At 44.4% G+C, this 26,248-nt stretch overlaps 2 annotated features.

Moving 5' to 3' along the window:
* Nucleotides 5,937-6,804: an enhancer, noted in NCBI's record as "NANOG-H3K27ac hESC enhancer chr5:141427829-141428696 (GRCh37/hg19 assembly coordinates)". NCBI's record gives its function as "activates a minimal SCP1, AML or CMV promoter by ChIP-STARR-seq in primed H9 embryonic stem cells {active_cell/tissue: H9 hESC(primed)}" and the evidence as "EXISTENCE:reporter gene assay evidence [ECO:0000049][PMID:30033119]".
* Nucleotides 6,805-7,670: an enhancer, noted in NCBI's record as "H3K27ac hESC enhancer chr5:141428697-141429562 (GRCh37/hg19 assembly coordinates)". NCBI's record gives its function as "activates a minimal SCP1, AML or CMV promoter by ChIP-STARR-seq in primed H9 embryonic stem cells {active_cell/tissue: H9 hESC(primed)}" and the evidence as "EXISTENCE:reporter gene assay evidence [ECO:0000049][PMID:30033119]".

Consider the following 26,248-nt stretch of genomic DNA (forward strand, 5'->3'; position numbering starts at 1 on the left):
AGCCCTTTGTCAGATGAGTAGGTTGCGAAAATTTTCTCTCATTTTGTAGGTTGCCTGTTCACTCTGATGGTAGTTTCTTTTGCTGTGCAGAAGCTCTTTAGTTTAATTAGATCCCATTTGTCAATTTTGGCTTTTGTTGCCATTGCTTTTGGTGTTTTAGACATGAAGTCCTTGCCCATGCCTATGTCCTGAATGGTAATGCCTAGGTTTTCTTCTAGGATTTTTATGGTTTTAGGTCTAACGTTTAAGTCTTTAATCCATCTTGAATTAATTTTTGTATAAAGTATAAGGAAGGGATCCAGTTTCAGCTTTCTACATATGGCAAACTGTCTCTCAGACCACAGTGCAATCAAACTAGAACTCAGGATTAAGAAACTCACTCAGAACTGCTCAACTACGTGGAAACTGAACAACCTGCTCCTGAATGACTGCTGGGTACATAAAGAAATGAAGGCAGAAATAAAGATGTTCTTTGAAACCAATGAGAACAAAGACACAACATACCAGAATCTCTGGGACACATTCAAAGCAGTGTGTAGAGGGAAATTTATAGCACTAAATGCCCACAAGAGAAAGCAGAAAAGATCCAAAATTGACACCCTAACATCACAATTAAAAGAACTAGAAAAGCAAGAGCAAACACATTCAAAAGCTAGCAGAAGGCAAGAAATAACTAAAATCAGAGCAGAACTGAAGGAAATAGAGACACAAAAAAACCTTCAAAAAATTAATGAATCCAGGAGCTGGTTTTTTGAAAGGATCAACAAAGTTGATAGACCACTATCAAGACTAATAAAGAAGAAAAGAGAGAAGAATCAAATAGACGCAATAAAAAATGATAAAGGGGATATCACCACCGATCCCACAGAAATACAAACTACCATCAGAGAATACTACAAACACCTCTACGCAAATAAACTAGAAAATCTAGAAGAAATGGATAAATTCCTCGACACATACACCCTCCCAAGACTAAACCAGGGAGAAGTTGACTCTCTGAATAGACCAATAACAGGCTCTGAAATTGTGGCAATAATCAATAGCTTACCAACCAAAAAGAGTCCAGGACCAGATGGATTCACAGCCAAATTCTACCAGAGGTACAAGGAGGAACTGGTACCATTCCTTCTGAAACTATTCCAATCAATAGAAAAAGAGGGAATCCTCCCTAACTCATTTTATGAGGCCAGCATCATCCTGATACCAAAGCCAGGCAGAGACACAACCAAAAAAGAGAATTTTAGACCAATATCCTTGATGAACACTGATGCAAAAATCCTCAATAAAATACTGGCAAACCGAATCCAGCAGCACATCAAAAAGCTTATCCACCGTGATCAAGTGGGCTTCATCCCTGGGATGCAAGGCTGGTTCAATATATGCAAATCAATAAACGTAATCCAGCATATAGACAGAACCAAAGACAAAAACCACATGATTATCTCAATAGATGCAGAAAAGGCCTTTGACAAAATTCAACAACCCTTCATGCTAAAAACTCTCAATAAATTAGGTATTGATGGGACGTATCTCAAAATAATAAGAGCTATCTATGACAAACCCACAGCCAATATCATACTGAATGGGCAAAAACTGGAAGCATTCCCTTTGAAAACTGGCACAAGACAGGGATGCCCTCTCTCACCACTCCTATTCAACATAGTGTTGGAAGTTCTGGCCAGGGCAATTAGGCAGGAGAAGGAAATAAAGGGTATTCAATTAGGAAAAGAGGAAGTCAAATTGTCCCTGTTTGCAGATGACATGATTGTATATCTAGAAAACCCCATTGTCTCAGCGCAAAATCTCCTTAAGCTGATAAGCAACTTCAGCAAAGTCTCAGGATACAAAATCAATGTACAAAAATCACAAGCATTCTTATACACCAATAACAGACAAACAGAGAGCCAAATCATGAGTGAACTCCCATTCACAATTGCTTCAAAGAGAATAAAATACCTAGGAATCCAACTTACAAGGGATGTGAAGGACCTCTTCAAGGAGACCTACAAACCACTGCTCAATGAAATAAAAGAGGATACAAACAAATGGAAGAACATTCCATGCTCATGGGTAGGAAGAATCAATATCGTGAAAATGGCCATACTGCCCATGGTAATTTATAGATTCAATGCCATCCCCATCAAGCTACCAATGACTTTCTTCACAGAATTGGAAAAAACTACTTTAAAGTTCATATGGAACCAAAAAAGAGCCCGCATCGCCAAGTCAATCCTAAGCCAAAAGAACAAAGCTGGAGGCATCACGCTACCTGACTTCAAACTATACTACAAGGCTACAGTAACCAAAACAGCATGGTACTGGTACCAAAACAGAGATACAGATCAATGGAACAGAACAGAGCCCTCAGAAATAATGCCGCATATCTACAACTATCTGATCTTTGACAAACTTGAGAAAAACAAGCAATGGGGAAAGGATTCCTTATTTAGTAAATGGTGCTGGGAAAACTGGTCCAATCATATTTCAACACAGCTGTCCATAATTTGTTGAAGCTAAGCATAAAAATGCACAATTTCCTCTGTATCTTTGGGTCTTCTTTATGAAAGCTCCTGTGTATACATGTTAAATAAATTGGTACACCTTTTCTCCAATTAATCTGCCTTTTGTGAGTTGATTTTTCAGTGAATCTTCAGAGCCAAAGGTCCTCCTGGTCCCTACAAAGGTCTTCGTTTTTCTAGCAAGTGGCCTATTAGCTTCTAACTTCCAACATGCAGTTTCTGATAGCTGTTAGATTCTGAACAAATTGCTGATTCAATTTTGCTCCTGATTCACCCACATGGAGTAGCCCCTTATGTGCTTCCCCTTCCCCCACCCCCAAAATCCTGGGTCTCCAGGATCAGTTCACAGAGGGAGAGTGGCATAAACCACTTTTTTTGAAACCTCAAAGATTTGCATACTTCATGATATTTTTTCTCTATGTACCATTTGTGTCATTATTTACTCAATATTTTTCTTTACGGATTTTTTTGTTTTTGTTTTTGTTTTTGTTTTTTTGGTTTTTGTTTTTAGACAAGGTCTCTCTGTGTTGCCCAGGCTGAAGCGCACTGGCACAATTATAGCTCACTGTAGCCTTGTCTTCCTGAGCCAAGGGATCTTCCCATCTCAACCTGCCAAGTAGCTGGGACTGCTGGCATGTGTCACCACGTCCAGCCAATTTTTAAAAGTTTTTTTTGTAGAAATGGGGTCTCACTATGTTGCCCAGGCTGGTCTCAAACCCCTGAGTTCAACTGATCTTTCTGCCTTGGCTTCTCAAAGTGCTGGCACTATAGGTGTGTGCCATTGAACCCAGCCTTACAATCATCTTTTAAACTTTAACATTACCCTAATCAGTTGCTGCCTATACAGTCATGGATTTTATGTTTCATTATATATACACACAAACTTATATATGTATAATTTTTTTTTTTTGAGACAGAGTCTCACTCTGTCACCCAGGCTGGAGTGCAGTGGCACGATCTCAGCTCACTGCAACCTCTGCCTCCCAGGTTCAAGCGATTCTCCTGCCTCAGCCTCCCCAGTAGCTGGGATTACAGGTGTGCACCACCACGCCCAGCTTATCTTTAGTAGAGATGGGGCTTCACCATGTTAGCCAGGCTGATCTCGAACTCCTAACCTCAGGTGATTTGCCTGCCTCAGCGCCCCAAAACACTGGGATTATAGGTGTGAGCCACTGCACTTGGCCTTATAATTTTAAATAAATACATAACTAGTAAAAAAAAAATGTACTGTTATACCACTAAAATCATCTGATATGTGCACTCCATCTCAGGAACACTGGCCTCAATTGTGGGGCTCAGAGTAGATCTATGGAGGTGGATTTTCTCAGGCTTGAGTGGAACAAGGACCAGCTGTTACCATGAGGACCTTCTCGGGATCTCCCCTGCCTTTCTTCTGCATGAGTCTCCGATCATTGTCTTCAACTGTGGGGCAAACAGTAATAAAGTGCTGAGTGCAGACCTTTAGAATCGCTGCACAGCTCTATTAGCAGTAGGCCATTCTCCCCAAGTTTCTGTTCTTCCTTTTTTTAGTGGAACTGGTTTCTGCTCTACCACACCCTGGGTGGAGTCTCTGTCATTCGAGCAAGTCAGCTGACCTGAGGGGTTGCCCTTGGAATGCTGAACCATGTTGGTCCTGGAGCAGCTGGTCTTCTTTGCTTGATATAACTTTTAAACCTCTACAGAGTCTCCGTCCGTTGCCAAGGTTGGAGTGCAGTGGTGCGATCTCAGCTCACTGCAACCTCCACCTCCCGGGTTCAAGAGATTCTCCTGCCTCAGCCTCCAGAGTAGCTCCCCCCACTATGCCCGGCTAATTTTTGTATTTTTAGTAGAGACAGGGTTTCGCCATGTTGTCCAGGCTGGTCTCAAACTCCTGACCTTGGGTGATCCGCTTGTCTCAGCCTCTCAAACTTCTTTTTAAAAAGGGTTTTAAGGCCCAGTGCAGTGGCTCATGCCTGTAATCCCAGCACTTTGGGAGGCCGAGGTGGGAGGATCACCTGAGGTCAGAAGTTTGAGACCAGCCTGACCAACATGAAGAAACTCCATCTCTACTAAAAATACAAAATTAGCCGGGCATGGTGGCGCATGCCTGTAGTCCCAGCTGCTCGGGAGTCTGAGGCAGGAGAATCGCTTGAACCTGGGAGGCGAGGTTGCAGTGAGCTGAGATGGTGCCATTGCACTCCAGCCTGGGCAACAAGAGCGAAACGCCATCTCAAAAAAAAAAAAGCGTTTAAAAATTTTTTTTAATTATTTTATTGAGATATAACTTTTATAAGTGTACAGCTTGATGAATTTTTATATGTAAGTATATACCATTAAAGCCACCACTCAAGATATAGTCCTGTGCTATTCAATACAGAAGCCATCGGCCAGGTGCAGTGGCTCACACCTGTAATCCCAGTACTTTGGGAGGCTGAGGTGGACGGATCACCTGAGGTTAGGAGTTGGAGACCAGCCTGGCCAACATTTCGAAACCCCATCTGTAATCCCAGGTACTTGGGAGGCTGAGGCAGGAGAGTCACTTGAACCTAGAGGCGGAGGTTTCCAAAGTGGTTGTTACAATTTACACTCCCATCAGCCATGGATGAGTCTTGGTTGCTCCACATCCTCACCAACAGTTGGTATTGTCAGTCCTTTTGATTTTATCCAGTCTGACTGGGAGGCAGTGTAGTTTTTTCATTTTTGTTTTTTGGGTTTTTGTTTTTGTTTGTTTGTTTGTTTGTTTTGAAACAGTCTCACTCCATCACCCAGGCTGGAGTGCAGTGGCACGATATTGGCTATCGACAACTTCCGCCTACTGGGTTCAAGCATTCTCGTGCCTCAGCCTCCCGAGTAGGGAGGGATTACAGGTGCCTGCCACCACGCTGGGCTAATTTTTGTATCTTTAATAGAGACAGGGTTTTGCCATGTTGGCCAGGTGAACTGCTGACCTCAAGTGATTCACCCGCCTTGGCCTCCCAAAGTGCTGGGATTACAGGCGAGAGCGACCGTGCCCAGCCAGCAGTATAGTTTTGAATTGCAAATAATTCTAATCATTTTCTTCCCTTTGCAAGGTAACAAACACCCACCTAGAAGATACACATAGGCAAAAAGAAGACAGTAAAAATACTCATCATCTCAAGCAAATCACTGTTAACATTTGATATATATCCATCTGCATGTGTATCAGTGTGTAAACTGACAAAAATGGCAACATACTACAATATTTTTTCTAACAATCTACCATGACCATCTTTCCATGTCTATGAATATTTATATACAGCATAATTTTTTAAAGCCAAATAATGTTCCGTCATATGGCTGTCCATAATTTAATCCTCTTATTCTTGAGCATTTAGACTATTGCCAATTTTTCACTATTATAAACACATTTATAATGAGTATCTTGCCACTAAATCTTTGCTTATGTCCTTTAAAATTTCCAGGAGTGGAGCTGCTTGTTAAACGGCTGGTATGCATGATTTGAAGGCTGCCAAGCTGTCCTCCCAAGCAGCTGCCTCCCCACCCTTGAGACAAAAACCTATTTCTAACCAACAATTGCCAGTTTGAAGAGGATCCTCTCTAGAACACAGGATTGCTCCTTCTCACGTGCAGGAGGCACTCCTTCCCCAAGAATGCGAAGTAAATCTATAACACAAAAGCACAGTCAGGCCAGGTGTCTTTGGGGCCGAGCAGGAGCTGTTGGGTTTCCGGAGAAGTCTAGGAAGGGAAATGTGGATCTGTGAGAGGGCAGATGCTAACCAAGTAAGTCGAAGACGCCAGAGGGGTCTCTCAGGTGAGGTCTACAGAGAGAGGTCAGGGAATAATAGTACATTGTGACTTGGCAGCTGTTGGTTCTGACAATCCATATTCCCAACAGCTCTCCTTGATCTCTATCCATTTATGTGGGAAGTTTTGCTGTATGAAAGGGGGAAGAAATGTCTGGAAGTAGATGGAAGTACTTGTGCCCCCTACTCACTCCTTCAGACTCGACATAAGCACTCTATAAAGAGAGGGACTTAGAGCAAGAATAAGCTGATGGAACAATTCAAGATGGGACTTCCCAAAATTCAGGGCCAGGCAGAGCTGCTTGAGAGCCCAGGCAAGCTGGTGTAGCTCAGAGGGAGCCAATCCAGTCCCCAGCTCTGCATGAAATGCTCTGCCTTGGGGCCCAGAAAAGCCACAGGCCCCTCATGATGGTTAAGGCAGAGGTGATGCCTTTCCAAGGGGATTCAGGGGCACAGACATGCAGAAATGGGGCCAAAGATTAAAAAAAGGCTAGAGGCTGCCTGGTGACTCCAGGGATAGACTGGTTTTGCGTGCCCTTGTGAGGCTCCTCTCAGGGACTCACAGAAAGAAATGGGACACTCTGAGGAAGGCAGAGGTCCCACTGTTGCACAGGTGGGGGCTGTGGAGCCAGCAGCCTAATGGGCTGCAGGAAGAAACGTGCATGCTGCATGAGAACACGTGGTGACTCCTGGAGGAACATGACTGGGCAGACCCTGCTAATGGTTCCCCAATGTCCATTCTCTGAGTCTTCCTTCCAGGGAGAGGCTGTCTCACCTTGAGGTTAGCCACTCTCCAGGAGGCAATATCTTTCTGCTTCTCTTTAGCTAGGTGTGGCCACGTGACTAGATCTGGCCAATGGGATGTGAGCGCAGAAGTGACGCATTCACCCTCTGGGTCATGGCACTGAAAGGAAACTGGGCCAGGCGTGGTGGCTCACACCTGTAATCCCAGCACTTTGGGAGGCCAAGGCAGGTGGATGACAAGGTCAAGAGATCGAGACCATCCTGGCCAACATGGTGAAACCCCGTCTCTACTAAAAATACAAAAATTAGCCGAGTGTGGTGGCACATGCCTGTAATCTCAGCTACTCAGGAGGCTGAGGCAGGAGAATCTCTGAACCCGGGAGGCGGAGGTTGCAGTGAGCCGGGATTAGGCCACTGCACTCCAGCCTGGCAACAGAGTGAGACTCCGTCTCAAAAAAAAAAGGAAGGAAACTGTTTATACTTTATTTTATCTCTTTCTATAAATTAGAATGTGGACATGGTAGAGCAGAATTGTCTACCTTGTGAATGAAGGTAACACTCTAGAGCAGAGTGATGATGGAAATACTACATATCTTATACATCTGCACTATCCAACATAGAACCACTAGCCACATGTGACTATTAAGCACTTGAAATATGACAAGTGCAACTGATAACTTGAATCTTTCATTTTATTTAATTTTAAATAAGTAAAAGAGCTACCTGTGGCTAGTGTCTGCAGATTTGGATAGCGTGGCTCTTGGAGATGGCAGAGCAACAAGATAGGAGGCATCTGGGTGCCTGAGGCCCCCTCAGGAAACAGAGCCTCACCTTTCCTCTAGGCTTCCTAGGCTCAGACTTTTACATGGCAGAGATATAAATATCTTTTTTTTTATAAAGATATATAAAAATAACTTTTTTTTTTTTTTTTGACAGAGTCTCGCTCTGTCACCCAGGCTGGAGTGCAGTGTGTGATCTCGCCTCACTACAACCTCCACCTCCTGGGTTCAAGCAATTCTCCTGTCTCAGTCTCCCAGGTAGCTAGGATTACAGGTGCCCAGCTAATTTTTGTATTTTTAGTAGAGACAGGGTTTCGCCATGTTGGCCAGGCTGGTCTCGAACTCCTGACCTCAGGTGATCCACCCCCCTCGGCCTTCCAAAGTGCTGGGATTACAGTTGTGAGCCACCGCACCTGGCCATATCTACCTCTTCAAAACTGTTTTTATTTGGTCTTATTAAAACAGCTGAACAAACGTCTCAACTAATATGACTTACTGCAGATCAGGGAGATTTTACAGAATGGTCTAACTAGAATTTTTAGGTGATGCAAATAGCACAAGGAGAATGTAATGAAAGGTAGGAGGTGAGAAAAATAAGAGATAGACGGAAACTCACCACAGACTAATTGATTCATTCAACGAATATCCTATAACCATTGTATTGACTATTGTTTCATAGCAAACTGTCCCACCACTTAGCAGCTTAAAATAACAAACACGTATTATTTCATAATTTCTCTGGGCCAGGAATTCAGGAGTGGTTTAGCTGGGTAATTACAGCCCAAGGTCTTTATTTTATTTTATTTTATTTTATTTTATTTTATTTTATTTTATTTTATTTTTTGAGACAGCATCTGGCTCAGGCCAGAGTGTAGTGGCATGATCACGGCTCACTGCAGCCTCAACCTCGCTGGGATCAGGTGATCCTCCAGGCTCAGGTGATCCTCCAGTCTCAGCCTCCTGAGTAGCTGGGACTATAGGTACATGACACCATGCCTTTCTAATTTTTGTATTTCTTTTTTTTTTTTTTTTTTTTTTTTGAGACGGAGTCTCGCTCTGTCGCCCAGGCTGGAGTGCAGTGGCGCGATCTCGGCTCACTGCGAGCTCCGCCTCCCGGGTTCACGCCATTCTCCTGCCTCAGCCTCCCGAGTAGCTGGGACTACAGGCGCCCGCTACCACGCCCGGCTAATTTTTTGTATTTTTAGTAGAGACGGGGTTTCACCTTGTTAGCCAGGATGGTCTCGATCTCCTGACCTCGTGATCCGCCCGCCTCGGCCTCCCAAAGTGCTGGGATTACAGGCGTGAGCCACCGCGCCCGGCCTAATTTTTGTATTTCTTGTAGAGATGGGTTTTCGCCATGTTGCCCAGGCTGGTCTCGAACTCCTGGGCTCAGGTGATCCTCCAGCCTCAGCCTCCCAAAGTGCTAGGATTACAGGGATGAGCCACTGTGCCCAGTCCCCAGGGTCTCTTATGAACTTATGCTCAAGGCATTGACTGGGGCTGCAGTCATCTGAAAGCTTGACAAGGGCTACAGATCCACTTATAAAAGGTGCACTTTCATGGCTGTTGGCTGGGGGGCCTCAGTTCCTCCTATATGGATCTTTCCCATAGGACTGCTTGAGTGTCCCCAGGGGTGGGTGATTCAAGACAGCAAGAAGCAAGTTGCATGCCTTTTATAATATGACTTAGTCTCAGAAATCACACATCACTTACACAATCCATAATATTTTAGTCATTAAAATTTACTAAGTCCAGGCCAGACATGGTGGCGCATGCCTATAATCCCAGCACTTTGGGAGGCTAAGGTGGGAGGATCACTTGAGGCCAGGAGTTTGAGACCAGGCTGGGCAACATAGTAAGACCCTGTCTCTAAAAAAAAAAAAAAAAAATTTTAATTAGCTGGGTGTGGTGGTGCACACCTGTAGTGCTAGCTACTTGGGAGGCTGAGGTGGGAGGATTTCTTGAGCTTGGGAATTTGAAGCTACAGTGAGCTATGATTGTGCCACTATACTTCAGCCTGAGTAACAGAGAGGAGATCTGTCTCTAAAAAAAAAAAAAAAAAGAGAGAGAGAGAGAGGAACTTACTAAGTCCAGTTGACACTCAAGGAAAGGGAAATTAAATTGCACCCTTTGAAAAAAGTGTCATGAAAGTTGTGCACATACTTTAAAAAAAAAAAAAAAACCACCGGGTTCGGTGCTTCATGCCTGTAATCCTAGCACTTTGGGAGGCCGAGGCGGGTGGATCACCTGAGGTCAGGAGTTTGAGATCAGCCTGGCCAACATGGTGAAACCCCGTCTCTACTAAAAGTACAAAAATTAGCCAGGTGTGATGGCACTCGCCTGTAATCCCAGCTACTTGGGAGGCTGAGGCAGGAGAATTGCTTGAACCCGGGAGGCAGAGGTTGCAGTGAGCTGAGATTGTGCCATTGCACTCCAGCCTGGGTGACAAGAGCGAAACTCTGTCTCAAAAAAAAAAAAAAACAAGTATACATTTTCTCTCTGTACCTCTATAAAACATTACTGGCAAGTGAGGAGAATTATTAGTCAATAAATATTACTGTGATAACTGATGAACCATTGGAAAAACAAAAAAAACAAAAACAAAAACAAAAACACCTTAGATTTCTACCTCACATTTTACGCCAAAATAAATTCCAGATGGTTTAAATATTTAAGTGTTTAAAACTACTGGAAAAAATTTTGATAAAGAAAATTGAAGTAGAATCCAGGTACAGTGGCTCATGTCTGTAATCCCAGGACTTTGGGAGGCCAAGGTGGGAAAATCACTGGAGGTCAGTAGTTCAAGACCAGCCTAGGCAACATAAGGAGATCTTGATTATACTACAAGAAAAAAAAAAAAAAAAAAAAAAAAAGCTGGGTGGGCATGGTGGCATGTGCCTATTGTCTCAGTTACTCAGGAGGCTGAAGAGGGAGGATCACTTGAGCTCAGGGGATCAAGGCTTCAGTGAGCTGTGATTGCACCACTGCACTCCAGCCTGGCCAGCCTAGGTGACAGAGTGAGACCCTGTTTAAAAAAAAAAGAAAAAAATTGAAGTAGAAAGGATATTAAAATATGACACTGAAGCTTAGGCAACACCAAAGAAAAGACTGATAGACGTGATTACATATGCAAATTAAATACTTCAGAAGAGAAAAAAACAAGTCAAAAGACAAATGAAAACTGAAGAGAAATATTTGCAACCTATAAGACAGACAAGAACTAAACCCTTAAATAAAGAACTTTTACAATTTCATGCAAAAACAACAACAACAAAAGGACTCCAAAACATGTCCCAGCAGTATGTCTCCTTCCCTGGGTAACTAGATTGTAACTGTGGAAGACAGCATTGTGTCTGAAATGTCTTCCTACTGCTCACAGAATGTTACACATTGTCAGTACTCAGATCGAGTCTGTTGATTGCAGCTCTTTATACCACTTCCAAAAATTCCTGTGCTTGTTTCTGTTCCTCCCCTCAAGTACTCTCCTCTTGTCTCTCTCAGAGCAATGTCATTAAGATGCTTCCTGTGCAATCTGTGACTCACAGCTAGATTATGGCACAGGCAGTGCTGATTTCAGCAAGAAACTGTCCCCAAGGCATAGATTGCGTTCCTGCAATGATGCCCAAAGAGAAAATTAAAACAGGAAAGTCTTTGCATTCATTCAGCACCTCATTCTTAGACCCTTACTATGTATCTGGAGCTGTATTTTTTATCTGAGTTGGTGCTCATGAGGGAGAGTGCAGCCAAGAGACCTGGTCGGGGGGAAAGGATGCTGGGCCAGGAGATCTGGATATAAGTGCTGGCTCTGCCGCCTGTGCTCTGGAGGACCAGATGGGTCCCTTCCAGCACTTGGCCTCAGTTTCTCCCTCTGTAGAACAACTGAGGGAACTAAGTGGTCCCATGGGCTCCTCCAGCTCTGACATCTGAGGATTCAGCTCATTTCCTCTTTTTAAAGTGTAGACTCTAATATCTGGTTTAATCATAATTGAGAAGTGTTTTGAAGTCCCTTAAGAGTCCTTGTCAGATTTTGGAACCCACTGAGAGTAAGGAAAATGTTTTCAATTACTGAAGTTATTCCTCCATTTTCTAAAAAAGACTGCTCTACTCACTTGGAAAAAGTAAAATTGCACAGATTGTAATGACTAGGGAGGCGGTAATGCGGTTAAGTGCTGGGCCTGCCCTGGTCTTCAGGTTCGCTGTGGTGGTGCATGTTGCACTGTAATTTGGAAAGTGCCTGTTGGGTTTTCAGGGGCTCAGTATTCTCTACTACTCCAGGAGTCTGTCCAGAGCAGGGCTGCCTCCAGACCTAGACAGAGTAAGCTCTGGAGTTGATTTCCAGCTCTTCCTGTCCCCAAATATCCTTCTACCTGTCTGCCATGGTGTCTGAAGTTCCTATCATTGGAGCTTCTCCTTTAAATTAAGATTTTTGGCAGCAATTAATTCTGGCTCCCCAGTGTGTAACTCCCACCACCTACTTCCACACATCCATTCCTCTTCTTCTGATCTGACCACAGAGACAGGCATGGGAGCCAGCTTGGGCCAAACATTAGACTTCATTTTCCTGGACACATGATTGGTCCAGGGATGGGCATGGCATAACCAATGCAGGGAGAGAGAGGGTCCCTGTCCCTGTGTTACTAAGCTGGGAGGGTGTTAGTCTGAGTCTTCTGCCAGCCATCATTCTTACAAGGAAAGAAACTGACTATGGAATGAGGCCAGGCAGAGGCAACAGAGATGAGTGGTGGAGAGAGAGCCATAGAAAGAGGGCACCAGGCTGGGCGTGGTGGTCCATGCCTGTAATCCTAGCACTTTGGGAGGCTGAGGCCAGCAGTCACTTGAACTCAGGAGTCTGAGAACAGCCTGGGTAACAGGGTGAAGCCCTGCCTCTACAAAAAATATAAAAATTAGCAGAGCGAGCTGGTGTGCGCATATAGTCCCAGCTACTCAGGAGGCTGAGGTAGGAGGATTGCTTGAGCCTGGGGGGCAGAGGTTGCAGTGAGCTGAGATTGTGTCACTGTACTCCGGCCTGGGTGACCAAATGAGACATCGTCTAAAAAAAAAAAAAAAAAGAAGAAGAACAACAACAACAACAAAAGGGGCACCCAAAGAAACAAGAGAGGGAGGGAAGGGAGGGGTTGGGGGGTGGAGTGGGGGGGGGAGAGAGAGAGAGGGAGAGAGAAATTTACCCTGAAGTCTTTGTTCCTATAACTCCCCCTTAAAGTCTATAAGCTACCCCATTATCCTTCTAGCTACATAAGTAAATAAATTCTCTTTTTGCTTCAGACCACTTGGATTTGAGAGAGTCCTGATTAATTGTCTCTCCAGGAGGCTCTTCTTGAACTGCAAATGTGTTATCTAGAAGGGATGACACATGGAATCAGTAATGTTGATGAGCTTTTCATATAAGCTGTGAATAGTACATAGAACAGATAAGTTTTGACAAGGAAGATAAAGTAAGGGCATTGCTAGAGAAATCAGGCATTGTAGAGAAGGGCAGAACCCCTGAACACTGCTGGTAGAAATGTAGAGTGGCGCAGCCACTGTAGAAAAGAGTCTGGCAGTTCCCCAAAAGATTATACATATGTTACCATATGCCCAGCAATTCTACTCCTAGGTGTATACTCAAGAGAACGGAAAACATATTTTCTTTAATTTTTTTTTTTTTTTGTAGGGCTGGGGCTCTTGCTGTGTTGCCCAGGCTGGTCTCAAAAGCCTGGGTTTAAGCGATCCTTCCACCTCGGTCTCCCAAAGTGCTGGGATTACAGGTATAAGCCACAGCATCTACCCTGGAAACATATTTTCATACAAAAACCTGTGCATAAATGTTCACAGCAACATTACGTATAATAGCCAAAACAGTAGAAACAATCCAATTGCTCATCAGTGAATGAATGTATAAACAAAATATGGTTTATCCATACAACAGAATGTTATTCAGCAATAAAAAGGAATGAAGTTTTGATACATGCCATGACACAGATGAACTTTAAGAATATCATGCTAAGCAAAAGAAGCCAGTAACAAAAGGCAACAAATTGCATGATTCCATGTATATGACATGTCTAGAATGGGCAAATCCATAGAGACAGAAAGTAGATTAGTGGTTGCTGGGGCTAGAGAGAGAGAGGAATGGAGAGTAGCTGCTAATGGATATACAGTTTCTTTTGGGACATTAAAATGTTCTGGAATTAGATAGTAGTGATGGTTGTACAATCTTGTGAATATACTAAAAAACAGTGGCATGTATACTTGAAAAGGATGAATTTTGGGTACATGAGTTACATCTAATCCAACTCTTTTTTTTTTTTTTTTTTTTTTTTTTTGAGACAGGGTTCAACTCTGTTGCCCTGGCTGGAGTGCAGTGTTGCAATCACAGCTCACTGTAGCCTCAATCTCCTGGGCTCAAGTGATCCTCCCACCTCAGCCTCCTGGATAACTGGGACTACAGGCATGTGCCACCATGCCCAGCTAATTTTTCTATTTTTGTAGAGACAGAGTTTCACCATTTTGCCCAGGCTGGTCTTGAACTCCTGAATGCAAGTGATCCGCCCGCCTCAGCCTCCCAAAGTGCTGGGATTATAGGCGTGAGCCACGGAGCCTGGCCTAATTCAATTTTTTTTTTTTTTAAGTATCATTGCTCTTCTTATTCTGATCATTCCCTTTTTTATATCACAGTATCCAGAGTACATTTTGTGGTTTGACTCTGATTCTCCTTTAGACATCCCTCCCCCAGCCCCACTTCCACACTTAGTCCTCCAAAATACTTAGAATCTTTGGGACACTGCCTGGTATGAATAAGATCTGGGGCTAATTTCCCTTTCAAAGGAGCTGGACCCTTTTTTACTCGCTCAGCTATTTTGCTGGGGGTAAAGGACCGGTCTTATCAACTCAAAAGGGACAGGCAGCAGTGGACTGAAACTAATCCACAATTTTGTTTAAATTTACTTGTCAAAAGCAGAAATATTCAATTTCATGGATACTCCCAATTCCCTGCACTGGGAGCAGACTTCCAGGAAGCAATTATGTAGTATAAAACGTAATGGGCAACAGGGGGTGCCTGGTGAATTATTCATAATCTGATAATGATTTTAACCCATTTTTAACATGACCTGCTATTGGTGTTAGCTTCTGGAAAGTTCTCAAAGTAAACAACACAGAGGTTTTCTTTAGTTATGTTTATATAACCATAAACCTCCTGCCTCTCCCTGAAACTACCTGAATAATTAAAATCAAAAGAGGCCTGGGGACCCTTTTCCTGCCCAAGTCTACAAGGCAGAGGTAAAGGCTGCTTTACGGCCTTCATCTAGCACAGCCATCACTGCTCACTGCAGCCTTCTCAGGGAGGTTGGTGTGGCATCATGCCCAGCATAGTGCCTGGCACCAAGAAGGCACACAATACTCATCTGTTTTTGATTGCTGAATGAATGAATGAATGAATGAATGATAGAAAGAATGAGATATTTGTGCTAAGGAAGAGTTGGGCCAGTCGTTTTGCTGCTTACCAGCTGATCTGAGCAAATGTCTTGCCCTCAATTTCTTTATCTACAAAATGAAGACAATAATACCTGCCCTGCTGAGTTACTGGAAGAATTTGAGAAGATAAATGCTCAATAAGCAATAGATGTTATTATGGTCTCTCTTTCTAATAGCAGCCCTATAACTTCCCCACATTTGATTAACTATGAGTCAGCAGAAGCTTACTTAGGAGCCAAAGTTTCCCCAACCTGGCTGTGTATCTGAAACACCTGGGGAGGTTTGTAAGACATAAATTTGCAGGTTTTTCCTCCAGGGATTCTGATTCAGTATGGATTCAGTAGGGTGGGGCCAGAGAATGTATTTTTTTAGTTTTGTTTTTAAAATTAAGGTAAAATTGCAAACCATGAAATGCAAAAATCTTCAGAGTATAACTGGATGAATTTAAACAAATGTATACACTTGCATGTCCAACACCCCAATGAAATATAGAACATTTCCGTGACCCCAGAAGATTTCCCCTTCTGCTCAACCCCTATCCTGCATAGACAACCACTGTTCTGATTTCTGACACCACAGAGTACTTTTGCCTGTTCTTTAAAGTAGTATTAATGGAATCATACAATATGCATTCTTTTCTGTTCACAGTTTCACTTACATCAAAAAAAAAAAAAAGAAAAAAATCATTTTTCTATGTGCCTGGTTTCTTTTGCTTCTCTTATGTTTCTGGGAATCAGCCATGTTGCTGCGTGTGTCATATCAACAGTACAGTCCTTGTTACTGCCAAATCATATTCAGCTATCTGGCTATTTCTCAATTTGTTTATCTCTTCATCTATATGGGCCTTTGAGGTTTGTTTCAGGCTATCATGAATAAAGCTACTATAAATATGTTTTCATTTATCATGAGTAAATACCTAGGAGTGGCTGGGCGCAGTGGCTCATGCCTGTAATCCCAGCACTTTGGGAGGCCGAGGCGGGTGAATCACCTGAGGTCAGGAGTTCGAGCCCAGCCTGACTAACATGGTGAAATCCTGTCTCTACTAAAAATACAAAAATTAGCTGGGTGTGGTGGCAGGCACCTGTAATCCCAGATACTCAAGAGACTGAAGGAATTCTGTGGTGCTTCCAAGGGAAAGTGGGCAGGGCCCAGGAGACTCCTCAGACTCAGGAAATGGGAAAATGGGAGTCAGAGTTAGGTCCCATACCTGTGATGGGAGACAAAAAGTTGTCAAAATACAACCATTTTATTCCAAGGGTCATGCTGGCTGTTGGCTCAGGAATTATATATATATACACACACACACATATATATATACACACACACATATACATATTTTTTTTCCTTTTTTCTTTCTGAAATTGCATTTCCTTTTGGGACTATTACAATTTCTCAGTAGGGGAGAAGACATTGGGTAATCAAAGTGATGCTGTGGTCCAGTATTTCCCAAAGGGTGATACAGGATGGTTTCAGAGGTTATAGAGATAAATATGATTAAAAGTAAGTGTTATAAGCTGGGCGTGGTGGCTCACGCCTGTAATCCTAGCACTTCGGGAGGCTGAGGCAGGCAGATCACTTGAGGTCAAGAGTTCAAGACAAGCCTGGCCAACATGATGAAACCCTGTCTCTACTAAAAATACAAAAAAATTAGCCAGGCATGGTGACACGTGACTGTAATCCCAGTTACTCAGGAGGCTGAGGCTGGAGAATCACTTGAACCCAGGAGGCAGAGGTTGCAGTGAACCAAGATTGTGCCACTGCACTCCAGCCTGGGTGACAGAATGAGACTCTGTCTCCTAAAATAAAAAAGTGTTCTAGTACATAGTGGTAAAAATAAAACTAGTACATTAAATATGTGATTTCTTGGACATACTGCCTGGCATGAAGCCAAGTTGAAAAGCGAATTCAATTTTCAGAAGCATACTAAGTATATAAAAAATACAGGTGACACCCAGGTATGACAAAAATTATGATGGTGGATATGAGTGGCTGAGATGATAGAAAATTACACCAGTCAAACCATGCATTTAACAGATGAGGAATCTGAGGCCCTGCCATGCAAGAGACTTACTCAAGGTCAGACCTCATCAGGGCTAAAAACAGATGACAAAATTCCCTGGTTCCTGGCCCAGTGCTTACTCCAATATGCCTGCTACTGCCCTCTTGTGAGAAGGGGAAGAGATCTCAACACCCATGCAGCCTAGCCCCTAGATTCAAAGTCAAATGCATTTTCAGAAATAGCCTGCAGTTTGCTTAGAGTTAATAAGGTAGAAGGAGATTTCTAAGGAATGAACACCAAGATCTTGGTAATTCTCTTCATATGAATTCTCTGGGGGAGCAAAGTGTGCATCTGGGTTCCTACCACTGCCTCCCATCCCTCCAGAAGACTGCAAATGGCCCCTCGGACAAAGCCAGCAGACCCATGCTTGAGTGCCCCGGGCAGAGCGTCTACCCCTGCATAGGCCCTGGGAGGCCACATAGAGGGCCTTGATTGTTCATAGAAACCACTTCAAGCAGCTGGAAAGGTGTAAGGGCACACCTTCTCAGATGCCTGTCTCAAATTCTTTTTCTTTTCTTTTTTTAAAAATTATTATTTTTTTAGAGTTGGGGGTCTTACTGTGTTGGCTAGGCTGGTCTTGAACTCCTGGGCTCAAGTGATCCTTGCCCTTGATCTCCCAAAGTGCTGGGCTTATAGGCGTGAACCATCATGCCCAGCCTCAGATGCCTGTCATCTTTGAATCTTTATGGATCCAATAGGGAGACTCAGAGGAGATGACTCTTAGAATTTTAGCATTTTCAGATCCCATAGCTCTGAGAGGCAAAAGGGTAGGCTCTGGAAATGCAAGCATGCACTTGAACTTCTTCAGCTGGAAAATAGAACCCACAATGGGAGTGACTCTCTCCATGTTTCATAAGTCTTTCTCTTCTCCCATCTGTGTCTCTTGCTGAGGTGTCCCCCACCTCTACAGTCTGGGAGCCATTCATTCTTCCTTTGTGTTACTGTCAGGGTTTGGGCTGGTATGTAGCTTGTTGAACCCATCCCTCAAAGGAAGGCTAAGGGATCTGAGCATGCAGCACTGATCTAACCCCAAAGGATATATAGTGAGTTATACCACATACAAGTTTTTCCCAATCAACCTTACAAAAGCTCAGCATTGAGGGGAGCAGCCCTTTATCCTGGGGCCACATCAGGATATATGAACTCTCCCACTCCCACTCCTGTCCTTGCCATGGTTTGCATGTGTCTCCCCAAAAAGCATTGTATTGGAAACTTAATCCACGGTGCCACAGTGTTGGGAGATGGGGCCTAATGGGAGATGTTTAGGTCATGAAGGCTCCACCCCCATGAATGAATGAATGCCAATTATAAAAGGGCTTGAGGCTGCAAGTTCCATCTCTTGCTCTTTGGCTCTCTCCCACACTTTCTTGCTTTCCACCTTTTGCCATGGGAACAAGAAGGCCTTTGCTACACTCAGGACCCTTGACCTTGGACTTCCCAGAACAGTAGAAATAAACCTATGTTCTTTATAAATTACTCAATCTTAAGTATTCTATTGTAGTAGCACACAACAGACTAAGATAGGAGACATAGTAAAATATAACACATCTAAGTTTCCCCAATCAACCTTACAAGAGGGGGAAAGCACTTTATTGAATATTGAGTGGGACAGCACTTTATCCTGGGGCCACATCAGAGTGCATGTGTGAACCCTGCTCCATCCCACCTCCTGTGTTTGCTGTGGTCTTTGGGAATAGGACCCCTAAGAATTTGAGAGCAGATAAATTTTAAAAAATAACTACAGCTCCAAAGCTTCTCCTGTCCTTTGGAGGCTCACAATGAAGATTCCTTTGTTTAGCAAAGCACTTAATGTATTTTGAGACTATGCCAAGGTAGGCTCAGGAGTTTGATTTGGATGGAAGCTGAAAACTGAATACTTCTGCATTAGAAAGTAACAAGGAATTTCAGGGTGCACCCTGGGGGAGAAGTCAATGAGCAAACAATGCAACATCCTTAGTCTGAGCCCTGGAAGACTGAGAAATGATTCTGTTGGAGCATAAGTTGGTCTTGTGAGCTATGGGATGTTCCCCATCTGTCACCCCCAGACCTTCAGTAAAACCTGCTGTATACAGTAGCCTGGTGTTGGTGGTGACTTGGGGTCATGCATGAAGTGAGTGGGACTCACTTGAGGTCAACCTCAAAGACTGACCTTAAGAGTCGGGACTGAGGCTGGGTGCAGTGGCTCACACCTGTAATTCCGACACTTTGGGAGGCTATGGTGGGAGGATGGCTTGAGCCCAGGAGTTCAAGACCAGGCTGGACAAGGTGATGTGACCCTGTTTCTACAAAAAAAAAAAAAAAAAAAAAAAAAAAGCCAGGCATGGTGGTGCATGCCTGTAGTCACAGCTACTCCGGAGACTGAGGTGGGAGGATCACTTGAGCCTAGGAGTTCAAGGCTGCAGTGAGCTATGATCCCGCCACTGCACTCCAGTCTGGGCAACAGAGCAAGACTCTATCCCCACAAAAATTTTGTTTTAATTTTTAATTTTAATTTTTTGCATGTTCTCACTTATTTTTGGGATCTAAAAATCAAAACAAACTCATGGACATAGTAGGTAGTAGGGGGAAGGCGGGGGTTGGGTAATGGGTACAAAAATAGAAAGAATGAATAAGACATACTATTTGATAGCACAACAGGGTGACTCTAGTCAATAATATAAATTTTTAAAAATTATATATTTATTTATTTATTTATTTTAAAGAGTTGGGACTGAGCTGGAGCATAGGCCATAAGATTGCCTCTCAGGAGCAGAAGTGAGACTGTGAAAGTAAGAAAGCAGGGGTAGGGCTGGGTGGGATGAGGTGAGGGAGTGAAGGGCACATACCTAGGGGAGTTTCACTTTGCAAGGGTGTTCTAGATGCTGGGATTGTCTGCCTTCTGCAACCACAGAGGGCTAGCCAGAAACCAGGGAGCCTCCTTGTCTGTACTCTGATCCCATCCTTGGGCTTAGTTGATTAGTCCAGGTATGGGAACCTCTGACCTGGGCCATTAAGCCTCTTCCCTTGGTTTCTGTCTCTTAGACTTCAAGAATGCTTGAGGTCAGGCTGTCTCCCATGACTGAGGCAGTGAAAGGTAAAATTCATAGGATCTGTCCACAGCCATGCTTTCTGTCATGTGGGAAAAGCTAGCCGGGCATGGTGGCTCAAGCCTGTAATCTCAGCACTTTGGGAGGCCGAGGTGGGTGGATCACCTGAGGTCAGGAGTTCGAGACCAACTCAGCCAACATGGTGAAACCCTGTCTCTACCAAAAATATAAAAATTAGCCAGGTGTGGCAGCGGGCGCCTATAGTCCCAGCTACTTTGGGAGGCTGAGGCAGGAGAATCGCTTGAACCCGGGAGGTGGAGGTTGCAGTGACCCGAAATCATGCCGTTGCACTCCAGCCTGGGTGACAGAGTAAGACTCTGTGTCAAAAATAGTAATAATAGTAATAAAATTTAAAAATTAAAAGAAAAGAAAAGCTGCTGCAAGGAGAGGAAAGGAAGCTGACGTCTGAGAGGGATGCAGAGAGAAGAGACGATAACTGAGTCTTGGTGACTTTCAGGCCTCAGAGCTCCAGCTGCAGCTCTGCCCAGAGCACCCTTTTCCCTAAGCTGCTGAACTTTGGTCTCTGCCACTTGCATCCAAAGTGCCCAATGGACACCAAGCACCTCCTCCTCACCCCCTTCATCTGGTGAACCCCTCTGGCTGGAAGTGGGGAGCTTGAGTGAGGACAGAAGCAAGTGTCCATCCCAGAATTGGGGTCCCTCATTTCTTTCTCTTCACCGTGCTTAACATGATCCAAAATTACATGTATTTACTTAATTGCTTACGTGTTTACATTGATCACCCCTGCACCCCCCAAAAATGTAAAGTTCCATTTTGTCTTGTTTAACTTGGTATCCCTAGTGCCTGGCACATCATAGGTGCTCATGAGTCATTGAATGAACAAATGAATGTACAAAGAAGATGGCTTGAAATCAGACCACTGAGACCCCCAACGAGGTCACAATTGCAGGAGAAACATCTCAGTGCCAGGCACTGAGCCTGGGATGTTTGAAATTTCTGTGCCCAAGCTGTGTGCCCTTTGGGGCGTGTGTGTATGCTGGGTACAAGGCCAGATACACAATCAATGCTATAGAAACCACAGATAAAGGGCCAGGGAGCTGAGTGTGACAATGGGCTGTTGGGAGAAGTTCCATGCAGATTACAAAGGGTTCAGAAAGGACAGGGGCATTGAAAGGCAGCTGTAATTAGAAAGCATAGGCATTCAAAGCTGCCTGGAGGTCAGAGGGGCTGGGCTGGCAGGCTGGGGAGATCGGGCAGGAAATGGGCACGGAAGCCCTGCAGTTCAGGGCTGACATAATTGGACAGAGAGCGGCAGCCAGTTACCATGGTAACAGCCAATCCGAGTGGCCGCGTATGTGGCAAGGAGTCAAGGTTTCTAAAGAAGGGGCTAAAAATGCTGCCTTTGTTCCCACTTTGAGCGAGTTGCCATCAGATCCCTGTGGGGGTGACGTGGCATGGGGACAGAGCCAACAACTGCTAGCCACCATGGCTGGGAGGGAGCCACGTGAGGACCCAGGGGACTGGCTGGGGCTGGGGAAGCTAAATATGTCATTCCATGGAGCTGGCTGTGCCTCCCAACATAAAGCAGCGGCCAATGGCCTGGGATTCAGAGTCTGAGAGTCCAGGGCTCAGATTGCAGCGTGGCCTCTTAGCAGCTATGTGACCTCAGTTTCCTTACATACAAAATGGGACTACTAACACCTTTTTCGCAGGGCGGTTGTAAGGATGGAGAGAAGTGATGCATGTCACACATTCACTTAGTGAGTGGTAGATGCTGTTGTTGTTATTCTGACAGACAACAACAGCAGCTCCTCCAAAAGGCTCTTAGCTTCTGGGGAGTAAAAGGCAGGTTTTGCTTCTTCAGGAGTTTCTTTAGGGGTACCAAAAAGGCAGTTGATAGAAACTAAAAAACTCCAGGAGGTGACCAGCTAGACTAACCAAGTGGTATTTAAAAAGAAAACATTCTTTAGGCAGGCTTGAGAGCTGTGAGATATCAGAGAATCCTGCTCCTTTGTTCTTTTGTCCAATTTGTGGGCCTGGACAGGACACAAAGACAAGGCCATCCCTCCCCTCTCCTTCCACAGTGCGGAGAGAAAGCAGAGAAGATCCTGACATGAGTGCTTCCTGAGACTTTTTTTTTTAATTTTTTTTTTTTTTTTTTTTTTTGAGACAGAGTCTCTCTCTGTCCCTCAAGCTGGAGTGCAGTGGCGCGATCTTGACTCACTGCAACCTCCACTTCCTGGGTTCAAGCAATTCTCCTGCCTCAGCCTCCCAGGTAGCTGGGATTACAGGTGCAGGCTGCCACGCCCAGCTAATTTTTTGTATTTTTAGTAAAGACGGGGTTTCATTATTTTGGCCAGGCCAGTCTCGAACTCCTGACCTCAGGTGATCCACCTGCCTCGGCCTCCCAAAGTGCCGGGATTACAGGCGTAAGCCACCACGCCCGGCCTTTTTTTTTTTCTTTAACTTTTAAGTTCAAGGGTGCATGTGCTGGTTTGTTGCATAGGTAAACATGTGTCATGGGGGTTTGTTGTTCAGATTATTTCATCACCCAGGTATTAAGCCTAGTACCTGTTAGTTATTTTTCCAGATCCTCTTCTTAAGATTTTCAAGTGAGGAAGTGAAATGAGGGTGGAAAGGCAGAGGAGGGTGCTTTGCTTAGAGACCAGGACAGGTCAGAGACAGGGCATAGGCACAGCTGTGGACTGACCACCCCCTGCCTCCCCAGCCAGAAGTGCCGGGAAATGCAGACATCCCTATTTGGACTCTGGTGCAGTCCTCTGTTGCTATGGCAACTCAGGGGCTCTGTGGTTGGTGGAAGAAGGCAGTGGCTGTGTGGAAATCGGCATTGGAGGCAGCAGCTGTGCCCTTTTGCTCCAGCAGTCTGGGTATTTCTGATGGGGGCAGGGTGGGGATACTCCCTCTGCCATCTCAGGAAGCCACACAGGAGACCCCTGGACTCCACGGCCAATGCCTCTGGCTCAGATCAGCTCCCACCCAGACTCCCTCACAGGGAGGAACCAGGCTTCTGTATGGAGTGGCAATTCCCTTGGCACCCCTACCTTGAGTATCTCCTCAGACCATATATTCCCCTGGGATTTCCTCTTCATTTTCCTCATTGATTCATTCATTCATTTGTTCATTCATTCAGCAAGTATATACCGCACAAAATGCTGGGCCAGAGCAGTGAAAAAGACAGACGAGGCTCCTGCCTTCAGGGAGCCTCCAGTTTAGTTGGGGAGAACACAGCACACAAATAAGTAGAAAGAGAGAGAGACTCAGATGCTAATAAACAGGCGACATGATCCAGAGAAATTAAGGCTGGACTGATTTAGAATGAATGGTCAGGAAAGGTCTTTCTGAAGTTGAGAAGGAGCTACAGGTGTTGGGAGTGGTCCAAGGAAGAGCAAGTGCAAAGGCTCAGAGCGGCGGGCCATGGCATTAGGGGCAGAGAAATGAGGGGGTCAGGGGCAGCAGCAGAAGCCAGGGCTGGAGAAAGGCGGGCTGGGATAAGCAGAGCCTTGTCATGGAGTCTGGTTTTCACTCTGAAGGCAATAGGAAGCACTGGTTGCCTTTAAGCACAAGAGGGGAGTGATCCCACTGATGCTTTTAAATGCTCCCTCTGCTAGCCTAGGGGACAATGGACTTCCTGCAGGAAGGCAAGAGTTGAAGCAGGGGACCCATGAGGAAACCACTGCGCTGGCCCAGGTGAGAGCTGAAGGGCTGCCTGTGCTGGTATGGATGGAGACAGAGGATTTGCAGGTAAGCCCAGCAGGACTTGCTGAGGGACCGAGGGTGGAGGACAAGGAAAAGGGGACTCAAGGATGACTCCCAGAGTCTGATTGAAACTTGGGTGAGTGGAGGTGCCATCTGTGAAGGGAGGGATGATAGCAGAGGCGGGGGAGAAATTGCACTGCATCTCAGCTCTGTTGGCCTGGATGACACATTCAAGTTATCCAAGAGCATCTTTCATTTTCACCATGAAATCCCTGAGAACTGAAGCATTTTATAAGCAACATTTCTAAAGTGTTAAGTCGAAAGGAAGCTTTCTTACAACACACTAACAGGGAAGAAAGTAATTATGTTAAAAGCTAACTGTTGGATGTCCTAGGTTGGTGGCACAACTCACTTAGGGCAATACCTGCTCTTTTGTAAGATAAACACCTTGATGGGTCATTTTCCGGTGTGGAAGGTGAGATCCTCTTGGACATGATGTGAACTAACTTACTACCTGCCAATCTCTGTGTTCACTGTTTTCAATACATTCTAATTTAACCTCTGTTTTTTATATATTATAATAATAATAATTGTTATTATTATTGTTATTACAGGTGTGAGCCACTGCACCCAGCCAAGAGGAAAATGTCTAAATAAATTATAGTATGTCCATACAATAAAATAGTAATGTGATCATTGTAGAGAATGAAATAGATCTATATACTTTAAGTGGGATTATGTCTAAAACAAAATGTTAAATGAAAAAAGCAAGTTGTAGAGTACACAGAATATGGTCTCATGTAGGAAAACAACAAAAATGACCTCTCCATTAAAAAAATAGTCTCAAGGCTGGGAGCGGTGGCTCGTGCCTATAATCCCAGAACTTTGGGAGGCCAACGCAGGCGGATTGCTTGAGCTTAGGAGTTCGAGACTAGCCTGGGTGACATGGGGAAACCCCATCTGTACACTTGATCTTATCCAAAAGGCCAAGAAGCATTGGGAATCCCATCTCTAAAAAATATTAGCTGGGCATGGTAGCATGCACCTGTGATCCCAGGTGCTTGGGAGGCTGTGGCGGGAGGATTGCTTGAGCCTGAAAGGCGAAGGTTGCAGTGAGCCTGCACTCCAGCCTGGGTGACAGAGTGAGACTGCCTCTCAAAAATAAATAAATAAATAAAAATAAAAAATAAAAAAGTCTCAAAACACACAAAATATCAAATGGCTACAGTGCGTACTTTTTTTTTTTTCTTTTTTGAGTCGCCCAGGCTGGAGTGCAGTGGCGCTATCTCTGCTCACTGCAACCTCCGCCACACAGGTTCAAGCAATTCTCCTGCCTCAGTCTCTCAAGTAGCTGGGATTACAGGCATGCGCCACCACTCCTGGTTAATTTTTGTATTTTTAGTAGAGATGGAGTTTCACCATGTTGGCAAGGCTGGTCTTGAACTCCTGACCTCAGGTAATCCGCCCACTTCAACCTCCCAAAGTGCTGGGATTACAGGCGTAGGCCACTGCACCCGGCTTACAGTGAATACTTCTGAATAGAGAGAGTAAACTTGGGTTTGGGAATTCAAATGGGCTTTTACTTTAATTGTATTGTTTGACGTTTTTATCCAGCAGGAATACATTTGTGTGTTTCCTGTGTAATTTAAAAACTCTAAAAATAAATGCATCCCCAAGTGATGTGCAGAAGGCTGGCACTGGTTGACCCCAGACCTGCCCTTCCTGCAGGTGATGAGCTTCCGAATCAGCCTGAGTAGACATGGGCCGAAGCCCTCCCACCCCAAGTCAGACAGTTTCAGTTTGGCGGGATCCAAATCCCTCCTGCCCTTTAAGGATCTCAAGCACACAGGTCCGTCATAGTTCAGAACAGTCACATAGTGAAGCTGGGCTTCAAGATAAACTGTTGACTGAAAAAGCAAGGTGGGGAAACATACAAGGCACAAGACATTGTGAATAGAATTCCACTATTTGAATGAAAATAAAAACCACAAACTTGCAGACTTGTATATGCACAGACTATTTCTAGAAACCAGTAACAGTGATTGCTGTGGCTGGAAGATGAGTGGGAAGGAGCAGCTTTATCTTAAGCACTCTTGTACCTTTGGAATTTTGAAATATTTTGTGTTACCTAATTCAAAATAAGTAA

The sequence above is a fragment of the Homo sapiens genome, chromosome 5, assembly GCF_000001405.40.
Source record: "Homo sapiens chromosome 5, GRCh38.p14 Primary Assembly".
NCBI lineage: Eukaryota > Metazoa > Chordata > Mammalia > Primates > Hominidae > Homo > Homo sapiens.